The sequence below is a fragment of the Homo sapiens genome, chromosome 17 (genome assembly GCF_000001405.40).
Source record: "Homo sapiens chromosome 17, GRCh38.p14 Primary Assembly".
NCBI classification, from domain to species: Eukaryota; Metazoa; Chordata; class Mammalia; order Primates; family Hominidae; genus Homo; species Homo sapiens.
The window spans coordinates 42,154,400-42,181,293 of record NC_000017.11 but is presented as its reverse complement, the minus strand read 5'-3'; the positions used below and the strand labels follow the sequence as shown (position 1 = coordinate 42,181,293).

General features: G+C 55.3%; 2 protein-coding genes and 1 long non-coding RNA gene across 6 annotated transcripts in view, besides 9 other annotated features; 2 read left to right on the top strand and 1 right to left on the bottom strand.

Moving 5' to 3' along the window:
• Window positions 3-242: a silencer, noted in NCBI's record as "silent region_8517". NCBI's record gives its function as "represses an Ori minimal core promoter by ATAC-STARR-seq in GM12878 lymphoblastoid cells {active_cell/tissue: GM12878}" and the evidence as "EXISTENCE:reporter gene assay evidence [ECO:0000049][PMID:35858748]".
• On the top strand, window positions 152-24,403 carry KCNH4 (potassium voltage-gated channel subfamily H member 4). The gene is made up of 17 exons (NM_012285.3): window positions 152-424; window positions 2,268-2,501; window positions 2,817-2,963; window positions 3,067-3,194; window positions 4,997-5,240; window positions 5,558-5,715; window positions 9,299-9,506; window positions 10,993-11,187; window positions 11,618-11,817; window positions 14,748-14,997; window positions 15,601-15,845; window positions 17,126-17,164; window positions 17,336-17,688; window positions 17,960-18,066; window positions 18,973-19,046; window positions 20,859-21,563; window positions 24,176-24,403. The coding sequence occupies exons 1-16, from the start codon at window positions 349-351 to the stop codon at window positions 21,252-21,254; spliced, it is 3,054 nt and encodes a 1,017-aa protein (NP_036417.1). The 5' UTR covers window positions 152-348; the 3' UTR covers window positions 21,255-21,563; window positions 24,176-24,403.
• Window positions 1,192-1,759: an enhancer, noted in NCBI's record as "H3K4me1 hESC enhancer chr17:40331553-40332120 (GRCh37/hg19 assembly coordinates)". NCBI's record gives its function as "activates a minimal SCP1, AML or CMV promoter by ChIP-STARR-seq in primed H9 embryonic stem cells {active_cell/tissue: H9 hESC(primed)}" and the evidence as "EXISTENCE:reporter gene assay evidence [ECO:0000049][PMID:30033119]".
• Window positions 2,410-2,911: an enhancer, noted in NCBI's record as "H3K4me1 hESC enhancer chr17:40330401-40330902 (GRCh37/hg19 assembly coordinates)". NCBI's record gives its function as "activates a minimal SCP1, AML or CMV promoter by ChIP-STARR-seq in primed H9 embryonic stem cells {active_cell/tissue: H9 hESC(primed)}" and the evidence as "EXISTENCE:reporter gene assay evidence [ECO:0000049][PMID:30033119]".
• Window positions 11,109-11,403: a silencer, noted in NCBI's record as "tiled region #11697; K562 Repressive non-DNase unmatched - State 23:Low". NCBI's record gives its function as "represses a minimal TATA promoter and a strong SV40 promoter by Sharpr-MPRA in K562 cells {active_cell/tissue: K562}" and the evidence as "EXISTENCE:reporter gene assay evidence [ECO:0000049][PMID:27701403]".
• Window positions 21,176-21,846: an enhancer, noted in NCBI's record as "H3K27ac-H3K4me1 hESC enhancer chr17:40311466-40312136 (GRCh37/hg19 assembly coordinates)". NCBI's record gives its function as "activates a minimal SCP1, AML or CMV promoter by ChIP-STARR-seq in naive H9 embryonic stem cells {active_cell/tissue: H9 hESC(naive)}" and the evidence as "EXISTENCE:reporter gene assay evidence [ECO:0000049][PMID:30033119]".
• RAB5C-AS1 (RAB5C antisense RNA 1) lies at window positions 24,371-26,894 on the bottom strand. 2 transcript variants are annotated; one of them, NR_187282.1, is made up of 3 exons: window positions 26,585-26,894; window positions 26,186-26,295; window positions 24,371-25,526 (listed from the first exon to the last, which is right to left on the bottom strand). It is a non-coding gene; the product is annotated as an RAB5C antisense RNA 1 (long non-coding RNA). The 2 variants fall into 2 exon arrangements; NR_187281.1 differs by having other exon boundaries at window positions 24,371-25,128.
• Window positions 26,029-26,323: an enhancer, noted in NCBI's record as "tiled region #9875; HepG2 Activating DNase matched - State 1:Tss, and K562 Activating DNase unmatched - State 1:Tss". NCBI's record gives its function as "activates a minimal TATA promoter and a strong SV40 promoter by Sharpr-MPRA in HepG2 and K562 cells {active_cell/tissue: HepG2 | K562}" and the evidence as "EXISTENCE:reporter gene assay evidence [ECO:0000049][PMID:27701403]".
• Window positions 26,029-26,853: a biological region, named in NCBI's record as "Sharpr-MPRA regulatory region 9875".
• Window positions 26,037-26,146: an enhancer, noted in NCBI's record as "active region_12189". NCBI's record gives its function as "activates an Ori minimal core promoter by ATAC-STARR-seq in GM12878 lymphoblastoid cells {active_cell/tissue: GM12878}" and the evidence as "EXISTENCE:reporter gene assay evidence [ECO:0000049][PMID:35858748]".
• Window positions 26,233-26,853: an enhancer, noted in NCBI's record as "H3K27ac hESC enhancer chr17:40306459-40307079 (GRCh37/hg19 assembly coordinates)". NCBI's record gives its function as "activates a minimal SCP1, AML or CMV promoter by ChIP-STARR-seq in primed H9 embryonic stem cells {active_cell/tissue: H9 hESC(primed)}" and the evidence as "EXISTENCE:reporter gene assay evidence [ECO:0000049][PMID:30033119]".
• The window catches only part of RAB5C (RAB5C, member RAS oncogene family), a 30,011-nt gene continuing 29,421 nt past the window's right edge, over window positions 26,305-26,894 (top strand). For all 3 annotated transcript variants that reach the window (NM_004583.4, NM_001252039.2, NM_201434.3), the window contains exon 1: window positions 26,305-26,401. The gene's annotated coding sequence lies outside the window, so the exon portion shown is untranslated. The remainder of the gene's footprint in view (window positions 26,402-26,894) is intronic.

Here is a 26,894-nt window from a genome sequence, read left to right as displayed (position 1 = left end):
CCCCGAGAGACACGCGTGGGCCGCTCCCCTCTGGGAGGAGGGCTGCCCAGAGGGGTGCGGGTGTCGCTAGCGGCCCCTCCCCGTGTGGGGCCACGTGGCGGGTGCGGGCCGAGCCCGAGGGGAAGAACCTGGCCCGTGGGGAGGTGGGGGGGACCGAAACGGCGCTGAGCCGAGCCGAGAGCTACGGGGTTCGGAGCAGAGGCAGCGGCAGCGGCAGCGGCAGTAAGAGGGAGGGGAGGAGGCAGGAGGGCGCATGGGGCGCCCCGGCCCCTCCGACAGCGCGCCCCCTCCGGCCCGGCCGCGCTGAAAGCTCCCCAGCGCCGCGCCTTGAACCCACGCCCCGGGGCCATGCCGGTCATGAAGGGGTTGCTGGCCCCGCAAAACACCTTCCTGGACACCATCGCCACCCGTTTTGACGGAACGCGTGAGTGGGACGGAGGTCGGGGCTTGAGGTTCGAGCTGGGGGGCAAGTATCCTCGGGGCCGTCTCGGATCTCCTGGACATGGTGAGACCCGAGGCGAGGGGAGAGAATGGAGGTGCGGGTCTAGGAACTCCCAAAGCCGCGGTGCAGGAACAGGGCGGGGAGTGCCCTGCGAGGGGAGGAGGGGAAAGGGCCGAGAGCACGGGGGCCAAGGTTAGGGGGTGTGACTCGAGGCAGAAGAGGCTCTTTGTGCGGCAGAGCGGAGGAGGGTCCTTCGGAGCCGCCCACTCTCGGGCAGAGCTGTGCTGGGGGCGTGTATGGGGGTATCCGAGACACAGAAGTGGGGCAAAGTGGCCGGGCATTCTGGGGTCTACTCACAGACTCCAGCTCCCACTACCTCCAGAAAAAAAGGAGAAAAGATCAGACTTCAGCAGGACCTAGTTTGGATTGAGGTCGCGCGCCCCCAAATCGTGGGGCGTCAGTGTCTAAGGTGGGTGAGGCAGGAGGAGGGGAGCGGTCTGTGCGACGGTGGGAACTCCCAGCTCGCCCAACGTAGCTTGGGTTTCAGGTTCAGCACCTTGGACAGCCACATCACTCCTCCCCCGCCTCTTCTCCCGCCATTCCCTCTTCCCACTCTGGAACCCAGAGATTCCCCGCCCTCACCTCCCCCAACCCCGCCATTCCCTCGGGAACCCTGGCCGGGATCTGGATGGTGGGGGAGCGGTACCCGAGGGCGGAAACTGAGCCGCCGGGCCCTACCCTCTTCCCCACCACCTTGTTTCCATAGCGCCCATCACCGGGGCAACAGGCCCTGGGATGGAAGAAGGAGGCTGTGCCCAGAGCCCAGTGCCTCCCAGGCACCTTCAGTGTCCCCATCAGCCTCCCTGCCCCCAGACAGTCATCCCTCCTAGAGCACCAGGACTGGTTGTGTCACAGGCCCCATCTCTTAGCTGAGTCTCTGTCCCTGGATGGCCCACAGGAGTCCCCCTGGCCTCCCACCCATTGGAGCTGGAGGGAGACAGCTCGGGTTCTGCTGCTGGGGGTTGCTGGAGCTATACGCTCAATGCCCTCTCCCATTAGACTTTGAGCAGTGGGGCAGATCCCCTGAAAGCAGCTACAAGAATGCTAAAAAGTGGACCTTCTCTGGAAGGCAGGGAAGGAAGACAGCACTCATCACTGTCTGCCCCCACACTAAGGAGATCTGTGAGTTTGGATAATCTCTGCCTTTTGGTTTCCTATCAATAAATGGGTGTGGTGTCATCAGAATCTCTGCCCTGCTTACTCTGTAATAGGAAGAAAGCCAAGTGAATGTGGGGAAAAAATTTCACCTTCTCAGAGTAGCACTTACCATGTGCTAGGACTTGTTCTCCCCAAGTTAACTCATGTAACTCTCACAACGACCATGTGAGGAAGGCCTATTATGCCCTACTTTGCAAATAAGGAAAGCTTAGGCACAGAAGAGGTCATCAACTTGCCCAAGGTCACACAGTTAGTAAGTGGCAGTGGAGGGTTGCAGGAGCCCAGGCTCTTACTCACCATGCTATACTGCCTTCTACAGTGACAGCTCACCAGTTGGAAGGCAGGGGGATGGATGGCATGACCTCCTGGGGTCCTTCTCCAACTCCCCGTTAGACCCTGCTTAAGTCCTGTCTCAAGTCCTTGTCTCTTTGCTCCAACTTCTCCAATTCTCAATTCAGAATATCCCAAAGTGGGGTCAGGAGCAACATGGAAACCTGGGAAGCTTCTGGCTCTGTGACTTCTAACCCCAACTTAGAGGAAGTGCTGCCCACCTGGAAGCTAGCTCGCCTCCCAGCCTTGACCTGACCTTGACCTCTTCTTCCCACAGACAGCAACTTCCTGCTGGCCAACGCACAGGGCACACGGGGCTTTCCCATCGTCTACTGCTCCGACGGCTTCTGCGAGCTCACAGGCTACGGTCGCACCGAGGTCATGCAGAAGACCTGCAGCTGCCGTTTCCTCTACGGCCCAGAGACCAGTGAGCCAGCCCTGCAGCGTCTGCACAAAGCCCTGGAGGGCCACCAGGAGCACCGGGCTGAAATCTGCTTCTACCGCAAGGATGGTGAGGGGGCTCACCCCACCCTGCAGCTCTGCCTAGACCCCTAGCCTTATCCAGAGGGCACTGGGCACAGTAGGAGTCTGAGTGCTTGTCCCCACACTGCCAAAAGCTGACTGTGACGGAGCGTATCCCTGACCTCTCTGGTCCTGGGTTCCCCCATTTGAAAGATGAAGGAATCGGCTGACAGAATCTCTGAGGTTCCTTTTGGTTCTTGCTTTGCCAAGCTCTTAACTATGTCTAGGAGGATGAGAGGGATGAGGAGAAAGGCATGCCATGGGGCTGCCCATGCTCCTCCCTTCCCTCTCTCCATGCCTACAGGCTCAGCCTTTTGGTGCCTCCTGGACATGATGCCCATCAAGAATGAGATGGGGGAGGTCGTGCTGTTCCTCTTTTCCTTCAAGGATATCACTCAGAGTGGAAGCCCAGGACTTGGCCCCCAAGGAGGCCGCGGGGACAGTAATCACGGTAACAGCAAGTCCGGACGGGCAGTGTGAATGGTCAGAAGCCTTCGCCTAACCAGCCGCAAGGGATGTGCCCCAACGTATCTCTGCACCTTTCTTCCCAACAGAAAACTCCCTTGGTAGAAGGGGAGCCACCTGGAAATTTCGGTCTGCCAGAAGACGGAGCCGTACTGTCCTACACCGACTGACCGGCCACTTTGGCCGCCGGGGCCAGGGAGGCATGAAGGCCAATAATGTGAGTCCCACCCCCAACCCAACATCTCCCAAGTCCTCCAGCCTTGATTCTGAGGCACCCCTGCCACTGTCTCCCCACTTCCCTGTCTGTCTGGTGTCCCTCCTTGGCTTGCTCCTCTGCCCACCCATTTCCCATATACTACTCTATATGGTATATGCTCCATCCTATATCCTCCCCCAACATCCTTCTATCCCTATCTCCCTCATTCCCTTAGGTGATTGACATTACTTTGCTCCGATGATGTCACATTGCTCTAGCAGCAATGACCTCACCTGCCCGGGGGTGATAGGGTTATACCATGGGTGGTGAAATTGCAAGCTGCTATAGTTCTAGGGAGAAAGCCCTCATTGCAGGCCTGGCATCTAGACCTGTGTACCACCTCCTAGGATCCTGACCAAGCCAGGGGATTGAGTCCCCAACCCTCTGTTAGGGATACAGGGAATGCGGTGGGCTATGCCAGCCTCTGCTCCCTGCTGGGATATACCCAGCCCCCACTGGGCCCCCAGAACCCAAGAGGAACTTAAGGGAGAAGTTAGGTACCCCTCAAGCTAGGGCATGTGCCGATTTGTCATAGTCTTCTTCTCAAGTAGGATGAGTGTTGGGCCAGGCACAGTGGCTCATGCCTGTAATCCCAGCACTTTGGGAGGCCAAGGCAGGAGGATTGCTTGAGGCCAGGAGTTCTAGACCAGCCTGGGCAACATAGTGAGACCCCTTTTCTAAAAAAAAAAAAAAAAATTAAAAATTATCTGGAGGCCAGGCGCAGTGGCTGATGCCTGTAATCCCAGCACTTTGGGAGGCTGAGGCAGGCGGATCACCTGAGGTCGGGAGTTCAAGACCAGCCTGACCAACATGGAGAAACCCCATCTCTACTAAAAATACAAAGTTAGATGGGTATGGTGGCACATGCCTGTAATCCCAGCTACTTGGAAGGCTGAAGCAGAAGAATCACTTGAACCCGGGAGGTGGAGGTTGCGGTGAGCCGAGATTGCACCATTGCACTCCAGCCTGGGCAACAAGAGTGAAACTCTCAAAAAAAAAAAATTATCTGGCTATGGTGGTGCATGCCTGTGGTCCCAGCTACTCTGGAGCCTGAGGCAGGAGGATAGCTTGAGCCCAGGAGTTTAAGGCTGCAGTGAGTTATGATGGTGCCACTGCACTCCAGCCTGGGCACAGAGTGAGACTGTCTCTAAACTTAAAAATGTAAAAATCAAGTTGGGTGAATGTCAAGCCTCATAAATACCCTTGACAAGACATGATTGGTTCAAACAGGGGCCTGGGGCCGGGCACAGTGGCTCACACCTGTAATCCTAGCACTTTGGGAGGCTGAGGTGGGTGGATCACCTGAGGTCAGGAGTTCAAGACCAGCCTGGCCAACATGGCGAAACCCCATCTCTACTAAAAATACAAAAATTAGTCAGGTGTGGTGGCATGTTCCCGTAGTCCCAGCTGTTTGGGAGGCTGTGGCAGGAGAATCACTTGAACCCAGGAGGTGGAGGTTGCAGTGAGCCAAGATCATGCCCTTGCACTCCAGCCTGGGTAAAGAGCAAGACCCTATCTCAAAAAAAAAAAAAAAAAAAAAAAAAAAAAAAAGGAGGAGGGCCTGGGAAATACTTGGCAGGAGAAGAAAATGTCAGGTGTCAGCCTCTGCGCCCCTCTCCTGGCCTTCTATCTCCTTTCATTCATGGTCAAAAGTGCCCTTGCAGTGCCCACCTGCTAACTTTCCCCATCCCCTGCCTTTCCCACCCCCCATCTTGGCTCCTCTTTCCCTCAAGTGTCCCCAACCGCCACCCCTCTCCCCTTAGAACGTGTTTGAGCCAAAGCCATCAGTGCCCGAGTACAAGGTGGCCTCCGTGGGGGGGTCTCGCTGCCTCCTCCTCCACTACAGCGTCTCCAAGGCCATCTGGGACGGCCTTATCCTCCTTGCCACCTTCTACGTTGCGGTCACCGTCCCCTACAATGTCTGTTTCTCGGGTGACGATGACACCCCCATCACTTCGCGACACACCCTTGTCAGCGACATCGCCGTGGAAATGCTCTTCATCCTAGGTCAGACCTTCTGCCTCACCCACCCTGGTGGGTCGGCTGGGGGGATCCACTTGGCCAAGCCTCACCCACTCCTGGGGCCCACATGACCCAGACATTCAGAGCCCCTTCCTTTCTGCATCTTTAAGTCCCAATGGCCCATGTGTCCTGCTCCCCGCAGCCTTCAGCCTTGTAACCTATCCTCCCTAAGGACCAGCCAGAAGCCCAATCTATCTCTCCATGCCTGCCTCCTCCTCCAGTCTCCAAAGCTTGTTCCCAGCTTTGTCGGTTTCTTGACCCCTTTGCCAAGGCCCCCCAGTAATAGCCTCTTGCACCCCCAGATATCATCCTGAACTTCCGCACCACCTATGTGTCCCAGTCCGGCCAGGTAATCTCTGCTCCTCGTTCCATTGGCCTCCACTACCTGGCCACCTGGTTCTTCATCGACCTTATTGCTGCTCTGCCCTTTGACCTGCTTTACATCTTCAACATCACCGTGGTGAGTGACCTCCATCCCGCCATCCAGTCCAACCTCCCAACTTCAGCACAGCATCTTCCAGGAAGGGACTGACCCCAAACCCAGATATGCCCCTTCCCATCAATCCATCTGCAGATATTTATCAGGCACCTGCTCTGGGCATAGCCCTGTGCTAGGTACTGGGAGGATCCCGAGGGTCTGTGATCCTGGGGAGCTCAGCTCACAATCTTTGAGGGAAGCTGAGACAAATGAAAAGCTAACTATGGCTACCAAGGCGGCATTGGTCTGATGCCAAATGAGTGGTACTTTTCACATTTTTATTTAACAAACAACTGATGAGCATTTAGCTGTCTGCAAAGCACTGTGTGGGGCATGGCCACTGTGGGGAAAGGGAACAAGGATTCAGCCTCTAAACAGCCAAACTGGTGAGGGGGCAGGAATGCCACAGAGCACATCAGGGACAGAAGAGGTGAATGGGGGTGGAAGATGGGGCCCGGGTATGCTACAGAGGGGCTGGGCTGACCTTGGAGTTCCAGGCTGGAACATGAGTGTGTGTAAAAATGATCTGAAGTCTGGCCAGCACCTGGGAAGCAAAAGCGCCCTTGTTGGGCAGAGGCTGGAGGGGTCTGGGAAGGTTTCCTGAGGGAGGCGGAGATGGTATAGCTAGACCTTAAAGGGTGAGTAGGATTTAGCTGGAAGGAGATGAGGACAGCAAGCATTTGGGGGAGCATAGTAAACCTAGACAAGAAGGTAGAGGCTGTGGGGTGAATTCAGAGGCAAAGAATGCCAGGACCTGAGTCCTCACAGATCCCTGGGGACACTCTGGAGGTGCCCTGAGTGGTCATCTGTGGCCCCAGCCAGCAGATAGTAGGTCTTCTCAAGTCCAGGGTGGGGCAGTGCTACCCCGTGTCCCCAGGCCCCCTTGGGTGTGGGGCGGGCAAGTGGGGAGCAGTTTCCTTGTGTGCTCTCTCCCTGCACTCAGCTATAGCAGGAAACCACCTACACGCAGCCGAATTTAACTAGCCGCCAACGGGCTGTGGGCCTCCTCTCCTGGCTGTGCACACGTGTGTGCGTGCTCCCACACACGTGCATGTGTGTACGTCTGCCTCGAGGCTCTGACCATTCTGAGCAGATCTCCCTACCCCTCCCCAGGGGTGCGCCCACCCCTCTATGCCCACCAGGCACCATCAGCTGGGGAGTGGGACACTACAGAGAGCCCCCTGCCCCTCCTCTCAGGTCCCTTTGGGAGCACGTTACAGTTCCCTATGTTCTTTCACACTCATCATCACATGGGAGCCCCACGGGAACCCTTCAGGGCAGAGGCTTATCCTTTTTCAGAGGTAGGTACAGAGGCTCAGAGAGGTTCAGTGACTTGCTGAAGGTCACATACCTAGCAGGGGCAGGCAGGATATTAGAACCAGGTCTCTCCACCCTGGGCAACAGGTGAAACCCCTTCTCTACTAAAACACAAAAAATTAGCCGGGTGTGCTGGCACGTACCTGTAGTCCCAGCTACTCGGGAGGATGAGGTACAAGAATTGCTTGAGTCCCAGAGGTGGAGGTTGCAGTGAGCCAAGATAGCTCCACTGCACTCCAGCTTGGCCGGGCGCAGTGGATCACCCTGTAATCCCAGCACTTTGGGAGGCCCAGGCGGGCGGATCACGAGGTCAGGAGATCAAGACCATCCTGGCTAACATGGTGAAATCCTGTCTCTACTAAAAATACAAAAAAAATTAGCCAGGCGTGGTGGCAGGTGCCTGTAGTCCCAGTTACTTGGGAGGCTGAGGCAGGAGAATGGTCTGAACCCGGGAGGCAGAGCTTTCAGTGAGCCGAGATTGCGCCACTGCACTCCAGCCTGGGCGACAGGGACTCTGTCTCAAAAAAAAAAAAAAAAAAAAAAAAAAAAAGAACCAGATCGCTAAACTTCCAGTCTAGTATTTTTTCCAACATACCACCCTGCTTCCCAGGTAACCAGGGCCCCTGAGTGGATGGTCTGGTGAGATGAGGAATACCACTGGGGGCCAGAGAGAGGTAGAGCAGAGACAGAAGATGAGCAGGCACTGGCAGAGCTGCAGACTTGAAGGAGCCAGGCCTGGATATTCTAGTCCAAGGAGAATGACAGGAGTATCCCCAAGAGAGTGGCCCAAGGGCAGCTGACTGAGGGAAGCCCTGAAGAACTCAAGCTTGCAGTCAAGGGCTCTGGGAGCTGGGGGTAGGCATTAAACCCTGGCGAGGGTCCATATGGAGGAATCAGAGCCACCTCCTTTCCAGTTCCTTCACCTAAAATTAGAGAAAAATTGCACGAGGTGGTCCAGGAGCAGTGTAGGGCCAGGGCTGTGGGGAATGTTCCTGGAGGCCCAGGAAGGGGCAATGAGGGGCTTTCATACCAAGTTCCCCAGGCACTGCCCCAGAGCCTCCAGTCCTAGCTGCCAGGCTGCTCCCACCCAGAAGATAAGCCCTGCCCATCTCCAAGATTGAAGGGCTAATCAATATTGATAACCACAATGCAGATGGTACTTGGGGTAATATTAGTGAATATGGGACACTTACCAGGTACCATTATCTCCGTCAACCCCTAGCACAGCCCAGCCTCCCTCAGTCCCTGCTCTCCTGCCCCCTCAACTCTTCTGCTTGACTCTTCATCTGCAGCCGATCCACAAGAAGAAGTGTCCATAAACCTCCCCCAGCCCTCAAGTCCTTGCCTGTCCCCACTCCACTATGCTTCTCCATGTCTTAAAGGGGGGTCCCCATCACAATTGCTGCCGTCGCTACTGGGGCTCTGCAGAGACTGTTGCCTATCCCCTGACTCTGACTAGGGCCGGCTCCCCTACCATCTCCCAGTGCTTAGTGGCTGTAGAGCACAAGGTGGACTGTGGTGTCAGTCAGCCCAGATGCCCACCCTGAGTTCCAACTCTATCGTGTCCTTGGTCTGTGACCTTGAACAAGTCATTAGCCTCCCTGAACCTCAGTTCATTCATCTGCAAATTAGGAATGATGATAATTGAACTAAAGGTATAAGTGTGTGTGTGTGTGTGTGTGTGTGTGTGTGTGTGTGTGTGTGTGTTGTTAAATAAGGATTACCAATGCTTAGCACAGTGCCTGGCTAAGCACATAGAACGTACTTACTAAGGCCGGGTGCAGTGGCTCACGCTTGTAATCCCAGCACTTTGGGAGGCCGAGGCAGGTGGATCACGGGGTCAGGAGATCGAGACCATCCTGGCCAATGTAGTGAAACCCTGTCTCTACTACAAATACAAAAATTAGCTGGGGAGGGAGGCTGAGGCAGCCTTGAATCGCTTGAACCTGGGAGGCAGAGGTTGCAGTGAGCTGAGATCTCGCCACTGCACTCCAGCCTGGCTACAGAGCGAGACTCTACCTCAAAAAAAAAAAAAAAAGTAATTACAAAGTGTTAGCCACTGTTTGTTTTATTGTTATTATTCCCTTGCTGCTGCATTCCTTGGCCACTTTCTCAGGACAGCAAAGATGTCTTTCCTGTTGCAGCCTGCCCTGGCTCCAGGTTGTCTGGTGGGAAGGCCCTGGGAGGGGACTCTGAGGGCTCGGAGGAGGTGTGCCTGCTGACAGCCTCCCCCGCCACCTTCCTGCAGACCTCGCTGGTGCACCTACTGAAGACAGTGCGGCTGTTGCGGCTGCTGCGGCTGCTGCAGAAGCTGGAGCGGTACTCTCAGTGCAGTGCTGTGGTGCTCACGCTGCTCATGTCGGTCTTTGCGCTCCTTGCCCACTGGATGGCCTGCATCTGGTATGTCATCGGGCGCCGGGAGATGGAGGCCAATGACCCGCTGCTCTGGGACATTGGTGAGCCACCGACCCCAAACTTTCACAGACCACCTGTCCACCTGTCCCATCCCCAAGCTGATGCCTCCACCAGTACCCACACCCCTCATCCCACATTCCTCTATCCATCCAACAAACATGCGTTGAGCTCTTTCTGGATCAAGCATGGGAATATTGATTTGCAGACAAGGGCTCTGTTTTGGGGGCAGGTTGGGGGGAACTCACAGCCTAGTGGGGGAGCAAGACCAGTGATAGTGATCAAAGTACAACGCAGGAAACACTCTGAGGGTGGAGGGGTGTGTTTCAGGCAGAAGGAGCAGCACGTGAAAAGTCCCAGAAAGAGCTTAGCATCTCTGCCCCCATCAATCCCTTCTTCTCCAAGCTTCATGGCCATGAGCCAGGAGACAGCCCCAGGCCCTTGGAATCCCTCTGAAAGGCCTGTCAGATCCCGGGCATGGTCCCTGACACCTCCCTTTCCTTTACCCCACACCTAGCCCACCACATCAATACCACCTCTCAAATGTCCCGTGAATTTGACCTTTTCTCTCCATCCTCTCTGCCCCTTCCCAGTCCACTCCACCTCCCTTTCTCACCCAGGCCTGTGCAATAGCCTCCCTACTGATTTCCCAATCCCCTTCTCATCCCCCCCACAACCACCATCCTCACCACAGCCAAATGGGTGTTCCAGGATTCAACGTTGACCCACTACACTCCTTCTGGGATTCCTTCAGTGGCTTCCCACTGCCCTCCAAATGAAGTCCACACTCACTGCACACCCTGGGCGGCCCTGTGCCCCTTCTCTCCCCACCTGCCTTCCCGTTCTCCCGTGCTCCCTGCGCTGCAGCCACACCAGCCTCTCCCCTGGACCCAGGACATACTGCTTTCTCATGCTGGGCCTGGAACATGTTCTTTTCCTCTCTGGAATCCTCCTCTTTTGTCTTCCCTCTCCACCTAGATGGATTTTCCGTTCCCTGCCTCACTTGGAACAATGTTCCTTCGGTTCCATGTGTCTCAACCAAAATGTCCTGTCCTAAGGAGCATGCCTTCCAGGCACCATGTCCAGAACCCCCAACTGCCAATGGGTTGGCTTTCCCTAACCTGTTAGGATTCCTAACACACCCTATACAATACTTTCCTTCCAGGAGCTCACCTCCCACCTGTAATGATTTATGTCATGTCTCTTTCCCCTCCAGGCTATAGGTTCCACCAGGGCAGGGAGAGTGTTTGGCTGGGTCAATTCCCCAACACTTTGTATACAGCAGGTGCACAATAAACTATTAGAAAGTTTCAGGAGCCTTTGAACACTCAGCAATGTAGTTAGTTGGCGGCCTTGGAATGCAACTGTAACCAATGCACCATGGGGAGACACAGGCCCAGGCCACTCCCCACATTTCCTGTGCCAACCTGTGTATAAATACTTGCCGAAGGTCAAGCGTAGGTGGCTCAGGGAACCCTGGTTCTCCACCGCTGGCACAGCCAGGGCTCCCTGCATCCGTCCACCCTGCAGGCTGGTTGCATGAGTTGGGCAAGCGTCTGGAGGTGCCCTATGTCAATGGCTCGGTGGGCGGCCCATCACGGCGCAGCGCCTACATCGCGGCACTGTACTTCACTCTAAGCAGCCTCACCAGTGTGGGCTTTGGCAACGTGTGTGCCAACACCGACGCGGAGAAGATCTTCTCCATCTGCACGATGCTCATAGGCGGTGAGGCCAGACCTGCCACGCCTCAGTGGGGCCCTGCGAAGCCCAGCATGCACGGGGAAACTGAGGCCCAGAGAGGGCAAGACATCTGCCCGAGGTGTCTACCCAAGTCCAGACAGTCACGCATTCATTCACGGACGTTTCCTGAGTGCCCACTATGTGCTGGCCCTGGGGATGCCACAAACAGGCGTGGACTTTTGCAAAGGGGATGGGAAACCCAGGTTCATGACCTAATGGTGGGGAGGCCTGAGAGGAGCATGGGGTGTTACCCATCTCTGGACCACTCCCTATTCCCCACCCTTAGTCTAGTGCCTGGCACCTGGTAGGCACACAGGAGCCCGCTGGCTCTTGGTCCAGGACAGGGTGGGTTTGGGAGCTGGGGAGGTGGCCAGAGGGGTGGCCGCCCCTGACAGGCCCGCTGCTGCTGCTGCAGCCCTGATGCACGCTGTGGTGTTCGGGAACGTGACAGCCATCATCCAGCGCATGTACTCGCGCCGCTCGCTCTACCACAGCCGCATGAAGGACCTCAAGGACTTCATCCGTGTGCACCGCCTGCCGCGGCCGCTCAAGCAGCGCATGCTCGAATACTTCCAGACCACGTGGGCCGTCAACAGCGGCATCGACGCCAACGAGGTAGCCTGCAGGGTCTCCAATCTTGCCCTTGCCCTCCGCGTGGCCCTGCAGTGGGGTGGGGAAGGAGTCGCTGCCCCTGTAGCTTAAAATGGAGGCAGGCCGAACTCGGCTGCTCACACCTGTAATCCCAGCACTTTGGGAGGCTGAGGCGGGCAGGTCACTTGAGGTCAGGAGTTGAAGACCAGCCTGGGCGACATGGTGAAACCCTGTCTCTGCTAAAAATATGAAAATTAGCCAGCTGTGGTGGTGCACGCCTGTAATCCCAGCTACTAGGGAGACTGAGGCACGAGAATCACTTGAACCAGGGAGGCAGAGGCTGCAGTGAGCCAAGATCATGCCACTGCACTCCAGCCTGGGTGACAGAGCTAGACTCTGTCTCAAAAAAAATAAATAAATAAAATGGAGGCGCTGAGCGCAGTGGCTCACACCTGTAATCCCAGCACTTTGGGAGGCCGAGGTGGGCGGATCACAAGGTCAGGAGATCGAGACCATCCTGGCTAACACGGTGAAACCCCATCTCTACTAAAAATACAAAAAATTAGCCGGGCATGGCAGCGTGCACCTATAGTCCCAGCTACTCAGGAGGCTGATGCAGGAGAATGGCATGAACCCGGGAGGCGGAGCTTGCAGTGAGCCGAAATTGTGCCACTGCACTCCAGCCTGGGCGGCAGAGCGAGACTCTGTCTCAAAAATAAAAATAAAAATAAAAATAAAAAAATAAATAAATAAAATAAAAGGGAGGCAAACAGGGCCCGGGGGGTGAGGTATTGTTCACAAGGGCACACATTTGCCCAAAATACAAATTCTTGCTTCTTTTCTTTTTTTCTTTTTTCAAGAAGGAGTCTTGCTCTGTCGCCCACGCTGGAGTGCAGTGGTGTGCTCTCAGCTCACTGCAACCTCTGCCTCCCAGGTTCAAGGAATTCTTCTGCCTCAGCTTCCTGAGTATCTGGGATCACAGGCACCTGCCACCATGCTCGGCTGATTTTTGTATTCTTAGTAGAGACGGGGTTTCACCATGTTGGTCAGGCTTGTCTCGAACTCTTGACATCGTAATACACCTGCTTCAGCCTCCCAATTTGCTGGGATTACAGGCGTGCACCACCACAGCCGGCCAAATTCTTGTTTCTTTGCACTTGAATAAGGGAATGAAAGAGCTCAGGGCCCAGCTGATGCGACTCTCCCTTCTGCCAACATTTCCTGAGTGCCTGCTTTGGGCCAGCCTTGGTGCTGGGCACAGAGAGCTTAGAGATGATGACACTTAGCCCTGGCCCTCAGGGAGACCCAGAGTATTGAGGGAGGCAGAAAGATGAACAGAGAGTGCCGCGCTGAATGGGGCTGTAAAGGAGGGATGTCGGTGCCTTCAGGTCCTCATTGTGCCTGGGTGGGGAGGAGTCAAGGAAGGTGGCAATGCCAGGTAGAAATGGCCTTAGGGACACAGGCCAGAAGTGATGGCACAAAAGAGCAGAGTGAGCGCTTTAGGGAACTGAAAGCGGCTCAATAAGCCCGCAGGAATGGGCATGTGAGTGCTGCGGAGGGAGAAGGCAGGGCAGGAAGGCACGACATGGGCTGGGAGGCAGCAGGCCCAGCTCAGGGATGGCCTAGAATTTAGATTTTATCCTGCTTAATGTTTAGACTGGGGAGTGGTGTGGGGATCTTGGAGGGAATGGGTTGGTGAGGTATCTCTGAGGATGGGATCTGTGGGACGTGGTAATCTCCTGCTGGTTGCAAGAGAGGAGCTCAGAGTGACTCCCAGTTTTCTGGCTTAGGCCAAGGGTGGGGATGGAGGCATAACAGGGGGAAGATGGGCTTTGGGATGAAGGTGAGAGTCCCGGGTCAGACCAAGAGGAGGGTATAGTGCCTGGGGGAGGTCCAGAGAGAGGCTGCCCGGTAGGTAGATGGGAATCAGCTCTTGGCTGGGTGCGGTGGCTCATACCTGTAATCCCAGCACTTTGGGAGGCTGAGGCGGGCAGATCACCTGAGGCTGGGAGTTTGAGACCAGCCTGGCCAACATGGTGAAACCCCGTCTCTACTAAAAATACAAAATTAGCTGGGCGTAGTGGTGCGTGCTTGTAATCCCACCTACTCGGGAGGCTGAGGCAGGAGAATTACTTGAACCTGGGAGGCGGAGGTTGCAGTGAGCTGAGATCGTGCCACTGCACTCCAGCTTGGGTAACAGAGTGAGACTCTGCCTCAAAAAAAAAGAAAAAAGAAATCAGGTCTGGACCCAGAGTTAGGGCTCAGGGCACTCAGGTAGTAGGGAAGCCATGGGGCCAGTTGCCATGATGCAGGGAGAGTGTGGAAAGTGAGAGTCCAGGGTGTTGGCTGAGGAAGAGGAGCCTGAGAGGAAATGAGGAAGTAAGCAGTGGGAGGAACCAGGAGGGAACCCTTCACAGGAGCCCAGGGGGACCAAGGGGAGAGTTCAACAAGCCAGGGTGGCCAAGGGGCTCCATATGAGGATGTGAACATGCAGTGTGGCCATAAGAGGTCATTGGTAGTGCCCATGGTCTAATAACAACTCTGCATTTTACAGACTGAGATACAGACTGGGATACTGAGGCCCAGCGAGCGGAAATGGGTTGCCCAAGGTCCACAGGGACTTAGGAGCCGAGCTGACTCCTGGTCTCCTGACTCCCAGTTGAAGGCTGACCCCCAAGTGATGGCTTCTGAACGATGGGGTTAAGTGACCAGCATGTAGCCACAGGCAGGGAACTGATGGGAGAAGACCTGGTCTCTGCCCCTGAAATTGGGTTGTGAGGTACATGCAGCAAGCAAAATTGAGGTTAGACACAGAGGTTGTACTGAAGGTCTGGAATGGGTGACTTCAAAGCAAGGGCAAGAGGAATTCTCTCTTTGAAGACAGCTCAGCACATTTGTAGACTCAAGTAGTAGCTGCAGGGGGATGGCCAGAATGACCTATGCCCCTTATGCAGTTACTGCGTGACTTCCCAGACGAGCTGAGAGCTGACATTGCTATGCACCTGAATCGGGAGATCCTGCAGCTGCCGTTGTTCGGGGCAGCGAGCAGGGGCTGCCTGCGGGCCCTATCGCTGCACATCAAGACCTCGTTCTGCGCTCCGGGCGAGTACCTGTTGCGCCGTGGGGATGCCCTGCAGGCACATTACTATGTCTGCTCCGGCTCGCTTGAGGTGCTCCGAGACAACATGGTGCTGGCCATCCTGGGTAAGGACACCGTCACCCTCTACTACCTACCCTGGAACCACCCCCCGCAACCCCCACTGAGGACTTGGGAATGGCCAGGATTCTAGGGAATGGGATACCCCTCGTGGATACCTACAGTTCCTGCTGAGGAGTACTCTCTCGGTCCCTCCGCCCTACGACCATCGCCTTTAGACAATTCCCCCTAATCCCCTTGGGCATCCCTCAACCCATCAACCCTTCCCGGTGACTGTCCCCCAGCTCAATTGATCCTTTCCCATTGCTCCACTTCCCAACCCCATTGACCTTTCCCCAGTGACCCTAAACTCCATTCACTTTTACCCTCTAACTGACCTGACCCCTCCGGCCATTGTGATTTTTATCACCCAATTCCACTGATCGTTCCTCTGGCCCTACTCACTCCCACTGACTGTCTCCCAGCCTTACCAGTCATTCTGCACTGACCTTTTCCCAATTCCATTGGTTATTTCCACCAATCCCATTGACTGGCCCACCTTCAACCATCCTTCAAACACACTGACCACCCCTCAAATCCACTGAGCACCTCCAGCTGATATCCTTTCGTTCTCACTGCCCCAGCTGACTGTCCCCATCCCTTACCTACAGGGAAGGGGGACCTGATTGGAGCAGATATCCCTGAGCCGGGGCAGGAGCCTGGGTTGGGAGCAGACCCAAACTTCGTGCTAAAGACCAGTGCTGATGTGAAAGCTCTGACCTACTGTGGCCTGCAGCAGCTGAGCAGCCGAGGGCTGGCTGAGGTCCTGAGGCTCTATCCTGAGTATGGGGCTGCCTTCCGGGCTGGCCTGCCCCGGGACCTCACCTTCAACCTGCGCCAGGGCTCTGACACCAGTGTATGTACACCCCTGATGACCGCCATCCTTCCAGAGTCCCTTCCTCCAAAGCAGACCTCCCCAGCCTGAGAGTCCCATGAACCTCCCTCCACCCTAAAAACACATGCCTGAAGCCCAGGCACCCTCCTCCATTGCCCCTTACCTGCTTCATACCTTCCAACCCCGCTGACACTACACTGGCCATCACCCAGGCCCCTGGCCGTCTCTCATCGCCATCTACTCCCAACTCTACTGCCCCATCTCCTGCTGACCACCCCTCAGCCCCACCCCAGACTCCTGACTCCTTCAAAGGACCCTCCCTTTGTTTTTGTTTTTGTTTTTTTGGGTTTTGTTTTTTTTTTTTGAGACGAAGTCTTACTCTGTCGCCCAGGCTGGAGTGCAGTGGCGCGATCTTGGCTCATCACAACCTCTGCCTCCTGGGTTGGAGCAATTCTCCTGCCTCAGCCTTCCGAGTAGCTGGGATTACAGGTGTGTACCACCACACCCTGCTAATTTTTGTATTTTTAGTAGAGATAGCGTTTCACCATGTTGGCCAGGCTGGTCTTGAACTCCTGACCTCAGGTGATCCACCCACCTCGGCCTCCCAAAGTGCTGGGATTACAGGCATGAGCCACAATGCCCGGTCTTGTTTTCGTTTTTGTTTTTTTTTGAGACAGTCTGGCTCTGTCACCCAGCCTGGAGTGTAGTGGCGCCATCTCAGCTCACTGCAACCTCCGCCTCCCGGGTTCAAGTGATTCTCCTGCCTCAGCCTCCCAAGTAGCTGGGATGACAGGCATGCATGCCATGCCTGGCTAATTTTTATATTTTTAGTAGAGATGGGGTTTCGCCATGTTGGCCAGGCTGGTCTCGAACTCCTGACCTCAGGTGATCCACCCGCCTCAGCCTCCCAAAGTGCTGGGATTACAGGCGTGAGCCACCATGCCCAGCCAGGCTCCTCCCTTTAGAAACAACCCCCTCATGTGCTCCTCTTTCAAGCCCCTCTCTGGACGGGGCATCATGCCCTGGGGGTTCCTCTTCTCTCACCAAATGTCTCCTGAGTCCACTTTGTTTTAGGCTCTGGGCCAGGCCTGTACATTACACCTTGGGCCTTGGTCTTTTGCTGCTTTTCAGTCTCACTTTGATATGCAGTGTTTGTTTGAGTTAGGGTTATAGTTTCTGACTCAGCTCCACAAAAGACTCCACATTCTCAACCCCATAACACTGTTGGGTGGGACAGGGAGGGTCTGCGCTATGGCCGCGGGAAGGCAGGAATCAGCTTGAACTCTCCTATGTCCCCACAGGGCCTCAGCCGCTTTTCCCGATCCCCTCGCCTCTCCCAGGTAACACCCACTTCCTGGGTGGGGTTGAATTGCCCTGGGGAGAGGGTGAGATGGGTAGCAGCATCCCCCTTTCCATGGATGGGGAGCTGCATCCGCCGGCGAAGGCTCTTACTTAATGAAGGGGTCTGTTGTTCACTGTCCTGCGACATCAGCTGCCCCCTCTGCCCGCAGCCCCGCTCAGAAAGCCTCGGCTCCTCCTCAGACAAGACGCTGCCATCCATCACAGAGGCCGAGAGTGGCGCGGAGCCTGGGGGTGGTCCCAGGCCCCGACGGCCCCTCCTGCTGCCCAACCTCAGCCCAGCACGGCCTCGGGGCTCCCTGGTCAGCCTTTTGGGCGAGGAGCTGCCCCCATTCTCAGCCCTTGTCTCCTCTCCTTCCTTATCCCCATCCCTGTCCCCTGCCCTGGCTGGCCAGGGCCACAGTGCCTCCCCTCACGGCCCCCCCAGGTGCTCTGCTGCCTGGAAGCCCCCTCAGCTTCTCATTCCCCCACTGGGAACCTTTGGACCTCCGGACCTCAGTCCCCGGTGAGACGCCAGCCTCCCCTGCTTTCCCAAAACCCCTATTGGCTTCCAGAACCTTCTCTGGGCTCTATCCCTGGCGTTCCAAACAGTGCTACATTCCGTCTCTGCCCGTGTGCCCACCGCACCCTTCCAACCACAGCTTGCAACCCCAACCCACTTTGACTGCTGCTCTTGCTCCGCCCCCTGGCACTGCTGCCCCCAGTCCCCCTCTGTCTGCTCTGCTCTGGCCCTTACCCTCACCCCATGGTGCTGATGAGCACTGCCCTGTTCCCAGGATAGTGGATGGCATTGAGGACTCTGGCAGCACAGCTGAGGCCCCTTCATTCCGATTCAGCAGGAGGCCTGAACTGCCAAGGCCCCGCTCCCAGGCGCCCCCTACAGGTAAGGGCCAACAGTGGACTTCAACCCCGTCATCCATCTGCCCATCCACCTGTCCATCCATCCCATATGTAGTAGGGGCCTACCATGTGCCAGGTGCCATCCTGGGAATACACAGATAAAACAGACCTGGCCCACGCTCTTGGAGTAAGTCTAGCAGGGAGACACCTCTGTACACAGATAAACAATTCCAGATGCTAAATACCATGACAGACAAGAACAGGACTCTGTGGTAGAAGAGGAAGGTGCTCACTCGACTTCCTTGCAGAGGAGGGGATGCTTGGGTTGCTTCTTAAAGGGTGGGTGGGATCTTGAAGAGTGGAGCAAAACAGTTATTGAGCTGGGCATGGTGGTTCATGCCTGTAATCCCAGTACTTTGGGAGGCTGATGAGGGTGGATCACCTGAGGTCAGGAGTTCGAGACCAGCCTGGCCAATATGGCAAAACCCCATCTCTACTAAAAATACAAAAATTAGCCAGGCGTGGTGGTGCACACCTGTAATCCCAGTTACTCGGAAGGCTGAGACAGGAGAATTGCTTGAACCTCGGAGACAGAGGTTGCAGTGAGCTGAGAGCACACCACTGCACTCCACCCTGGGCAACAGAGTGAGACCCCATCTCAAAAAAAAAAACAAAAACAATTGTTGAAAGGCATGAAAACCAGAGGGATGCTGTGTTCAGACACCAAAGAGAAGCTCCGTACCAAGATGGGGCAAGGGGCAGGATGAGGCTGGAGAGTTACACAGGGGCCTCAGAACCAGGCTAAGGAGTTTAGGTTTCCCATCTTACAGACCCTAGAGCTTTGTCTCCCCCTGCTCTCCGCCTGCCCAATGACAGGAGGATTCCAGCCCAAGTTATAGGCTCAGGTATTAATGCTCCATGAACTCACCTGCATCCCTTCACCCTGCAGGGACCAGGCCCAGCCCAGAATTGGCCAGTGAGGCTGAGGAGGTGAAGGAAAAGGTTTGCCGGCTGAACCAGGAGGTGGGTTGGGGCTGGCTCAGAGACGTGCCTGATATAACAGCATTTCAGACCCTACACGTGGCTCACTTGAGGTCAGGAGTTTGGGACCAGCCTGGCCAACATGATGAAACCCTATCTCTGCTAAAAAATACAAAAATTAGCCAGGCACCTGTAGTCCCAGCTACTCTGGAGGCTGAGGCAGGAGAATCGCTTGAACCTGGGAGGCGGAGGTTGCAGTGAGACAAAATTGCGCCATTGCACTCCAGCCTGGGCGACAGGGCAAGACTCTGTCTCAGAAAAAAAAAAAAAAAAAAAAGAGAGAGATATTCACGCTAGCTAGATGACCTTGGGCAAGTCCCACAACCACTCTGAACTTAAACCTTGGGCAAGTCCCACAACCGCTCTGAACTTAAACTTCCTCATCTAAAATGGGGAAATAGTAATATGTGCTTCCCAGAGTTTTAAGGATGAAATGAGAGTGCATATGTGCCTGGTCCAATCCCTGGCATGTCATAGGCACTCCGTACCAGTTGGTTTCCTTCCTCCCCGACTGGCTCAAGTTTCCCAGCCTGATAAGAGCATCTCTTCTCCCTCCACCACTGTAGGACTCTTTCCTGCCCAGGCCCTACCTCTTTCCCTTACCCCAGCCGTGGGTAATGAGTGCTAAGCAGATGCAGGGGCAGGGGACAGGGAGGCTGAGAGGCCTTCAGGCCTGGGGGACCTGGATCCAGATGTCTGAACTCTGTCCAGGAAGAACCTAGATTCTATATGCTGAGGCTCAGCCTCTGCCTCCTCCCCAAGGGATCTCAGAGTTGTCACCGCAGAGCAACCAGGCCCAGCCCCTGGGAGCCAGCCTTCCCTGTGTTCTGATAAACATCGGGCATCCCAGAGGGGCGGTGCCTGGGCTGTTTCAGGCCCTGGGGCCTGAGCGGGGCTGGCTCTTGTTCAGCAAGCTTGAGGGCAAGTCCGCTCAAGGCCTCAGGCATCCCTCAATTCTAGGCCAGTGGTTCCCAAACAAGTATCTGTCAGAACTACCTGATAGGCCGGGCGCGGTGGCTCATGCCTGTAATCCCAGCACTTTGGGAGGCTAAGGTGGGTGGATCACGAAGTCAGGAGATGGAGACCATTCTGGCTAACACGGTGAAACCCTGTCTCTACTAAGAATACGAAAAAAATTAGCCGGGCGTGGTGGCACACACCTATAGTCTCGGCTACTTGGGAGGCTGAGGCAGGAGAATCTCGTGAACCCGGGAGGCGGAGCTTGCAGTGAGCTGAGATCGCGCCATTGCACTCCAGCCTGGCAACAGAGTGAGACTCCATCTCAAAAAAAAAAAAAAAAAAAAAAAAAGAAAAAGAAAAAAGAACTACCTGACAACCTATTAAATGCAGATTTCTGGGCCTCTTAGGATTGGGAATGTCTGGGGCGGAGCCCAGAAATGTGCCTTTTCAAAAGTTTCTTAGTTGATTCTCTAGTCGCTGAAGTGTGAAAAGCACTGATAGAGACCCTTGAGCTTGTGTGATGGGATCAGCTGAGAATAATAAGGCTGTCACTTCACAGATGTGTGGCCTCTTTGAGCACATTTTTTAACATCTTGGGAAAGCTCGCGCGCGCGTGTGTGTGTAGGGGAGGAATAGCAATATCTGCTGCCCCAAATCCTTTCTGGAAAGAGACTGGGGCATTTTCCATCTAGGCAAAAATAACCCTCATCCTGCCTTTTTCCCAGGGTGGCCATGAGCAGAAAGTGGCTGCGAAAGAGCTTTGTAAACTGGAGAGGGGGGTGCACCTTGTTATTACTGTGGCACCTGTGAAACAACTCGATGTGTTTTCAACAGATCTCTCGTCTCAATCAGGAGGTGTCTCAGCTTAGCCGGGAGCTGCGGCACATCATGGGCCTGCTGCAGGCCAGGCTGGGTCCCCCAGGCCACCCAGCAGGCTCCGCTTGGACCCCAGACCCTCCTTGTCCACAGCTGAGGCCACCATGCCTCTCTCCTTGTGCGTCCAGACCACCACCCAGCCTCCAGGATACTACGCTTGCTGAAGTTCACTGCCCAGCCAGTGTGGGGACCATGGAGACAGGGACTGCGCTCCTGGACTTGAGACCTTCCATATTGCCCCCCTACCCCTCAGAGCCTGACCCTCTGGGACCCTCTCCAGTGCCAGAGGCCTCACCCCCAACCCCAAGCCTCTTGAGGCACAGTTTCCAGTCCAGGTCAGACACGTTCCACTGACCCTGGCCCAGGGCCCAGGCCTGTCTGGGGTGGGCGCTGCCGCTCACCACTCAGGGAGGACCTGGGCCCCTTGGCTTCCTGCCTTGGGGTCAGCAGCCACCAGCTGGCCTGGTTGGCTCTGGATTTCTGGACTTTTTAATGAAGCGTGGTTACCTCTGACGCTATTCCCTTTTCCAAGCCTTCCCCAACCTCCCCCTCTGTGAGGGGAGCCACCTGAGGGCTGTGGAACCCAGCAGGCATGAGATGAACCGCAGTGCCCATTGGGCTGGGCAGATGAGATCCTACTTTCTCCCCAGGACCTGGAGGCAGGTAGAGATGGGGGAGCAGAGGGGATGGGCAAGGGACCCAGCTCCAGCCTAGGACATGAAGGGAAGACCAGACAGGATCTTAGCGTCTATAGCAAGAGAGACAGGTTGTAGGATTTTGCCTGAAGATAGCTTAGTGATATTGTGAGGTCTTCTGTCTCAGCCCCTGGGTCTCTGCTGAAGACCTTAAGAGCAATGTTACCTAGAGAGGGGTAGGTTTGAGATGTTGCTTGGAATTTGAGCAACCCATGATTTCTTAGGCCGCCCACCATGAGCCCAGGCTGGAGAGGCTCACCTCATCCCACAGCCCACACAGGAAACAAACGGATGGCTCCAGATATGTACTCTTCGGCTCGCGCAGCATTATTTTCAAAATATGAGTTAGTTCCAATATTAAAAATGAGACAGGGCCAGGTGCGGTGGCTCACGCCTGTAATCCTAGCACTTTGGGAGGCCAAGGCAGGCGGATCACCTGAGGTCAGGAGTTCGAGACCAGCCTGACCAACATGCAGAAACCTCATCTCTACTAAAAATACAAAATTAGCCGGGCATGGTGGCACATGCCTGTAATCGCAGCTACTCGGGAGGCTGAGGCAGGAGAATCGCTTGAATCCGGGAGGCGGAGGTTGCAGTGAGCCAAGATCGCACCACTGCACTCCAGCCTGGGCGACAGTGAGACTCTGTCTCAAAATAAAAAAAAGAGACAGGTTATATAGGAATACAGATATTCCAATTTCTCTACAAAATGTAGCACTGGGCACAGTGGTTCATGCCTATAATCCCAGCCCTTTGGGAGGCCGAGGTGGGAGGATCGCTTGAGTCCATGAGTTTGAGATCCACCTGAGCAACATAGCGAGACCCTATCTCTATAAAAAAAATATATATATATATATTTTTTTATAGACGGAGTCTCACTCTGTCACCCAGGCTGGAATGCAGTGGTGCAATCTCAGCTCACTACAAGCTCCGCCTCCTGGGTTCATGCCATTCTCCTGCCTCAGGCTCCCAAGTAGCTGGGACTACAGGCGCCCGCCACCACACCCGGCTAATTTTTTGTATTTTTAGTGGAGACAGGGTTTCACCATGTTAGCCAGGATGGTCTCAATCTCCTGACCTCCTGATCCGCCTGCCTCGTCCTCCCAAAGTGCTGGGATTACAAGTGTCAGCCACCGCACCCAGCCTATAAAAATATTTTTTTTTTTTTGAGACGGAGTCTCACTCTGTCGCCCAGGCTGGAGTGCAGTGGTGCAATCTCGGCTCACTGCAAACTCCGCCTCCCGGGTTCACGCCATTCTCCTGCCTCAGCCTCCCGAGTAGCTGGGACTACCGGCGCCTGCCACCACGCCCAGCTAATTTTTTTGTATCTTTAGTAGAGACGGGGTTTCACCATGTTAGCCAGGATGGTCTCGATCTCCTGACCTCATGATCCACCTGCCTCGGCCTCCCAAAGTGCTGGGATTATTTTGAAAAATATTTTTCAAAATATTTTTCAAATTAGCCAGGTGTAGGCTGGGCATGGTGGCTCACGCCTGTAATCCCAGCACTTTGGGAGGCCGAGGCAGGTGGATTACCTGAGGTCTGGAGTTCGAGACCAGCCTGACCAACATGGAGAAACCCCATCTCTACTAAAAATACAAACATTAGCTGGGATGGTGGTGCATGCCTGTAATCCCAGCTTCGCGGGAGGCTGAGGCAGGAGAATCGCTTGAACCTGGGAGGTGGAGGGTGCAGTGAGCCGAGATCGTGCCATTGCTCTCAAGTCTGGGCAATAAGAGTGAAACTCCACCTCAAAAATAAATAAATAAATAAATAAAAATTAGCCAGGTGTAGTGGTGAGTGCCTGTGGTTCCAGCTACTCCAGAAGCTGAGGTGGAAGGATGACTTGAATCCAGGAGTTCAAGACCAGCCTGGGCAACATAGCAAGACACCCCCCCCACCCATCTCTATACAAATTAAAAAATTAGCCAGGTGTAGTGGTGTGTGCCTGTGGTCCCAGCTACTCTGGAAGCTGAGGTGGGAGGATCTCTTGAGCCCAGGAGGTTGAGGCTGCAGTGAGCAGTGATCACACCACTGCACTCCAGCCTGGGTGACAGAGTGAGACCCTGCTCAAACAAAACAAAACAAAAAAAACCTCAGGACATCAGGCTACCGTGGGCCAACATTCCATCTGGCAATAACTGGCAATCAGCTGGGCTGGGTGGCCACTGTCCTCTTTAGATGGGATCTGCTCTGCACTCTACTTCGCAGTCACCACGTTTCTTGATCATCTCCCGACACCCAGCTAGCTTCCCTTGTTTGAAATTTTTGTTTGGTCTCTGTGGGTATTTGAGTTCTCAAAACTTGAGTGTCCATCAGAACTACCTGAGATCCTATTAAAACGCAGATTCTGCCAGGCGCGGAGGCTCAAAAAAATAAAAAAATAAAAAGCAGATTCCTGGGCCTCATCCAATTTGGAATGTCCGGGGTGGAGCCCAGGGGTTGAGTTTGCAACCTCTGCCTTACCTAACAGTGTGTTCCCAGGTCCCTGTGCCCAACAGGTGCTTTTTGGGCCCAGTAATGTCTGCTTCTACTCCTAGGCGTGGGTCTGTCAACATCTCTGTTTCTGTCTCTCTGCAGGCTGTCTCTCAAGGTGGTCTCTTCTGCTGCTAGCAACTCAAAAATCCCAACAGCACTCCCTATCCTTTCCCTGACCCCAGACCGCTGCCAAGCCTGTTCTCCCCCATTACAACATGGTCTCACTCAGGGCCTGGACTGCTCCAAAACTCGCCCAGGTCTCCAGCTCTCCTCTACCACCCAACACCCTGGGCTCACTTTTGGATAGGAAATAAACTCTTTATTTTTGTAGTTATTGGCTCTGGGTGTTTCTGGGGGTTACTCTGAGAGCCCCAGGGCTTTGGAGGAGCCAACACAGCAATCACTCCCCACCCTCACCTTCGTTGTACCCCAGGGCCCAGTTGCTATCTCTAGGAAGGGCAGAGGCACCAGCCAATCTACTTGGCACCACATTCACACCACCAGGGGCCCCAGGGTTGAGGAAGAAACTTAATTAGTCACTATGGGCCTATTATACCCCCTTCTCTCCCCTGCACCCCAGTCACAGCCATGTATGCACACAGTATGTGGGAAGGACAGAGTCCTGGCTTTGGCCCACCTCCAGCCTTGGAAAGGTGGGCCTAGGGGACTACCCATCCCTCCTGTATAAGGAACTGTTCCAGAACTGGGTATGGCAAGGGGGCTGGGGGAAGAGCTTGTCACCAGCCAGAACCTGCTAGGAATCCCACTCTGCCCCATCCCCTCTGTCCTCCCAACAAGCCCTCTCTTCCCTCTTCCTTTTCACTTCTCATGAACACTGGCGCGGAAGTGGGGATTGTGTGTTATGGGTGTAAGAAAGAGAGACGCCCTGATGACCAGATGGAACTAGATGTGGGCACAGTTTTGTGGCAGGTTGTCCAAGACAGGTAAATTCTCCAGCTGAGGCTCCAGGATATGCCTGGTGTTGGCGTTATAGGCACAATGGCCACAGCTGTCTCCGGTGAGCTTTGATTCCACACAGGTTTTCAGTAGTGTCCCTTGAGGATGAGATGCAAAAGAAGAGGAGGTACTGGTTTGTGTTGAGAGGTAAGGGTGGGAGGAATCAGGAGCGGGCCCAGTCCATATTGAGAGGAGCAGAAAAAACAAATATTCCTGATCCATAGAGGGGGAGAGTGCAGAGTGGGGGTGGTTCTAGTCTTTATTTACGGATGGAGAGGGCCGAGGCAGAGGTTGTCCAGCTCTGTATTCCGCGTCAGAGAGAAGAGCTGACCCTGGCTAGGAGCAGGGGAAGGCAGAGGCAGAGATGGTCTTTGTGCCGGCCCCCGCACACACCAAGTAGGAGGTGGTGGCAGAAGCTCTCCCTTTGATCTCACCCAGCATCCTGCAGAGAACTCTTCCTGCAGCGCTTTCCTCACCTTCCCAATCACAGACGCCCCTGGCAATCGGGCGGACAGTGCAGACAAGGGCTTCTCCAGATCAGCGAGTTCACAGGACTGAGGCCTCGCGTGCATATTCATTCGCACCACGTTTTTTCTTTCCCAATTCTGCACACACAATCCTCTGCCTTCTTCCAACGCTCCACCACCCGCCTTCCCTCGGGGCGTCCGGAACCGGCGGTGACGCGGATGGCAGGGTTAGCCTTAAAAAGTTCCCGGCCGTAGGCTGGGCGCGGTGGCTCAGGCCTGTAATCTCAGCACTTTGAGAGGCCGAAGAGGGCGGATCACCTGAGGTCAGGAGTTCGAGACCAGCCTGGCCAACATGGCGAAACCCCCGTCTCTACTAAAAAATACAAAAATTAGTCGGGCGTGGTGGTGCGTGCCTATAATCCAGCTCCTCGGGAGGCTGAGGCAGGAGAATCGCTTGAACCCGGGAGGCAGAGGTTGCAGTGAGATCGCACCACTGCACTCCAGCCTGGGCGACAGAGTAAGACTCCGTCTCAAAAAAAAAAAAAAAGTTCCGGCCGGGCTCCGCCTCGCAGTCAGCCGGCTCCACCCTAAGCCCAAGTCCCAGGCAGCCACTGACTCCTCCCAGCGCTGCGAACTACAAGTCCCGCGATCCCTCGCGCGCTCCCTACCGCCACTCCCGCGTTCCTACCGGCGCCGCTGGGTAGGTCGGCCAAGAGTGCCTCCCATTGGTCTCCGCACTGTCAATCACCTGGGAGTATTGAGGGGCGGGGCGGAGGTGGAGATCCGGATCCGGAGCGGCTGAAAGGCGGAAGTGGAGGCCGGAGCCTGGGACACCGCCGGCGGGGAGAGAAGCGGATCCCGTCCGAGCCCCGGCCCCAAGTAACGCCGCCGCCCCGGAGCCGCCGTGAGTATGCTTGTCCCAGGACCTGGTGTCTCGCCTGCGTTGAAGCATCTCCAGGGCAGCCCTTCCTCCCGCCCAGCCCCAGTTTAGGGGGATACTGACCCCTCCCCCGACCCGTAGCCCCCTCTTGAGGGGCTCCCCAGGCGTCGGGCCATAGGAGGTGGGGAGCTTCTTTCCTTAGCTTACCTGCCTTTGGTGAGCCTTAAGGAAACCGCTATGACTGTCCTCTGGCCTGTCCATTCTAGTTGTGGGAGAGAGGTACCCTAAGTTCCGCTCCCCCTGCTTCCAGAATCGGAGGATCTTTGCTAGGTGTGAAGGAACCTGTCCCTCTTCTCTTTTAGAAGTGACAGGGAGTGCTGTCTGTCGCCGTTTTCCTTCCTCCTGTCCCACAAAACCAGTTGTCCCCTCTAGCCCTAGAGGAATATCTCGATTTCCTTTGGGGGAGGGGGGTCGTCTGGGTGAGACCGTTCCACACGCACAGAAGTGTGTGTGCGCT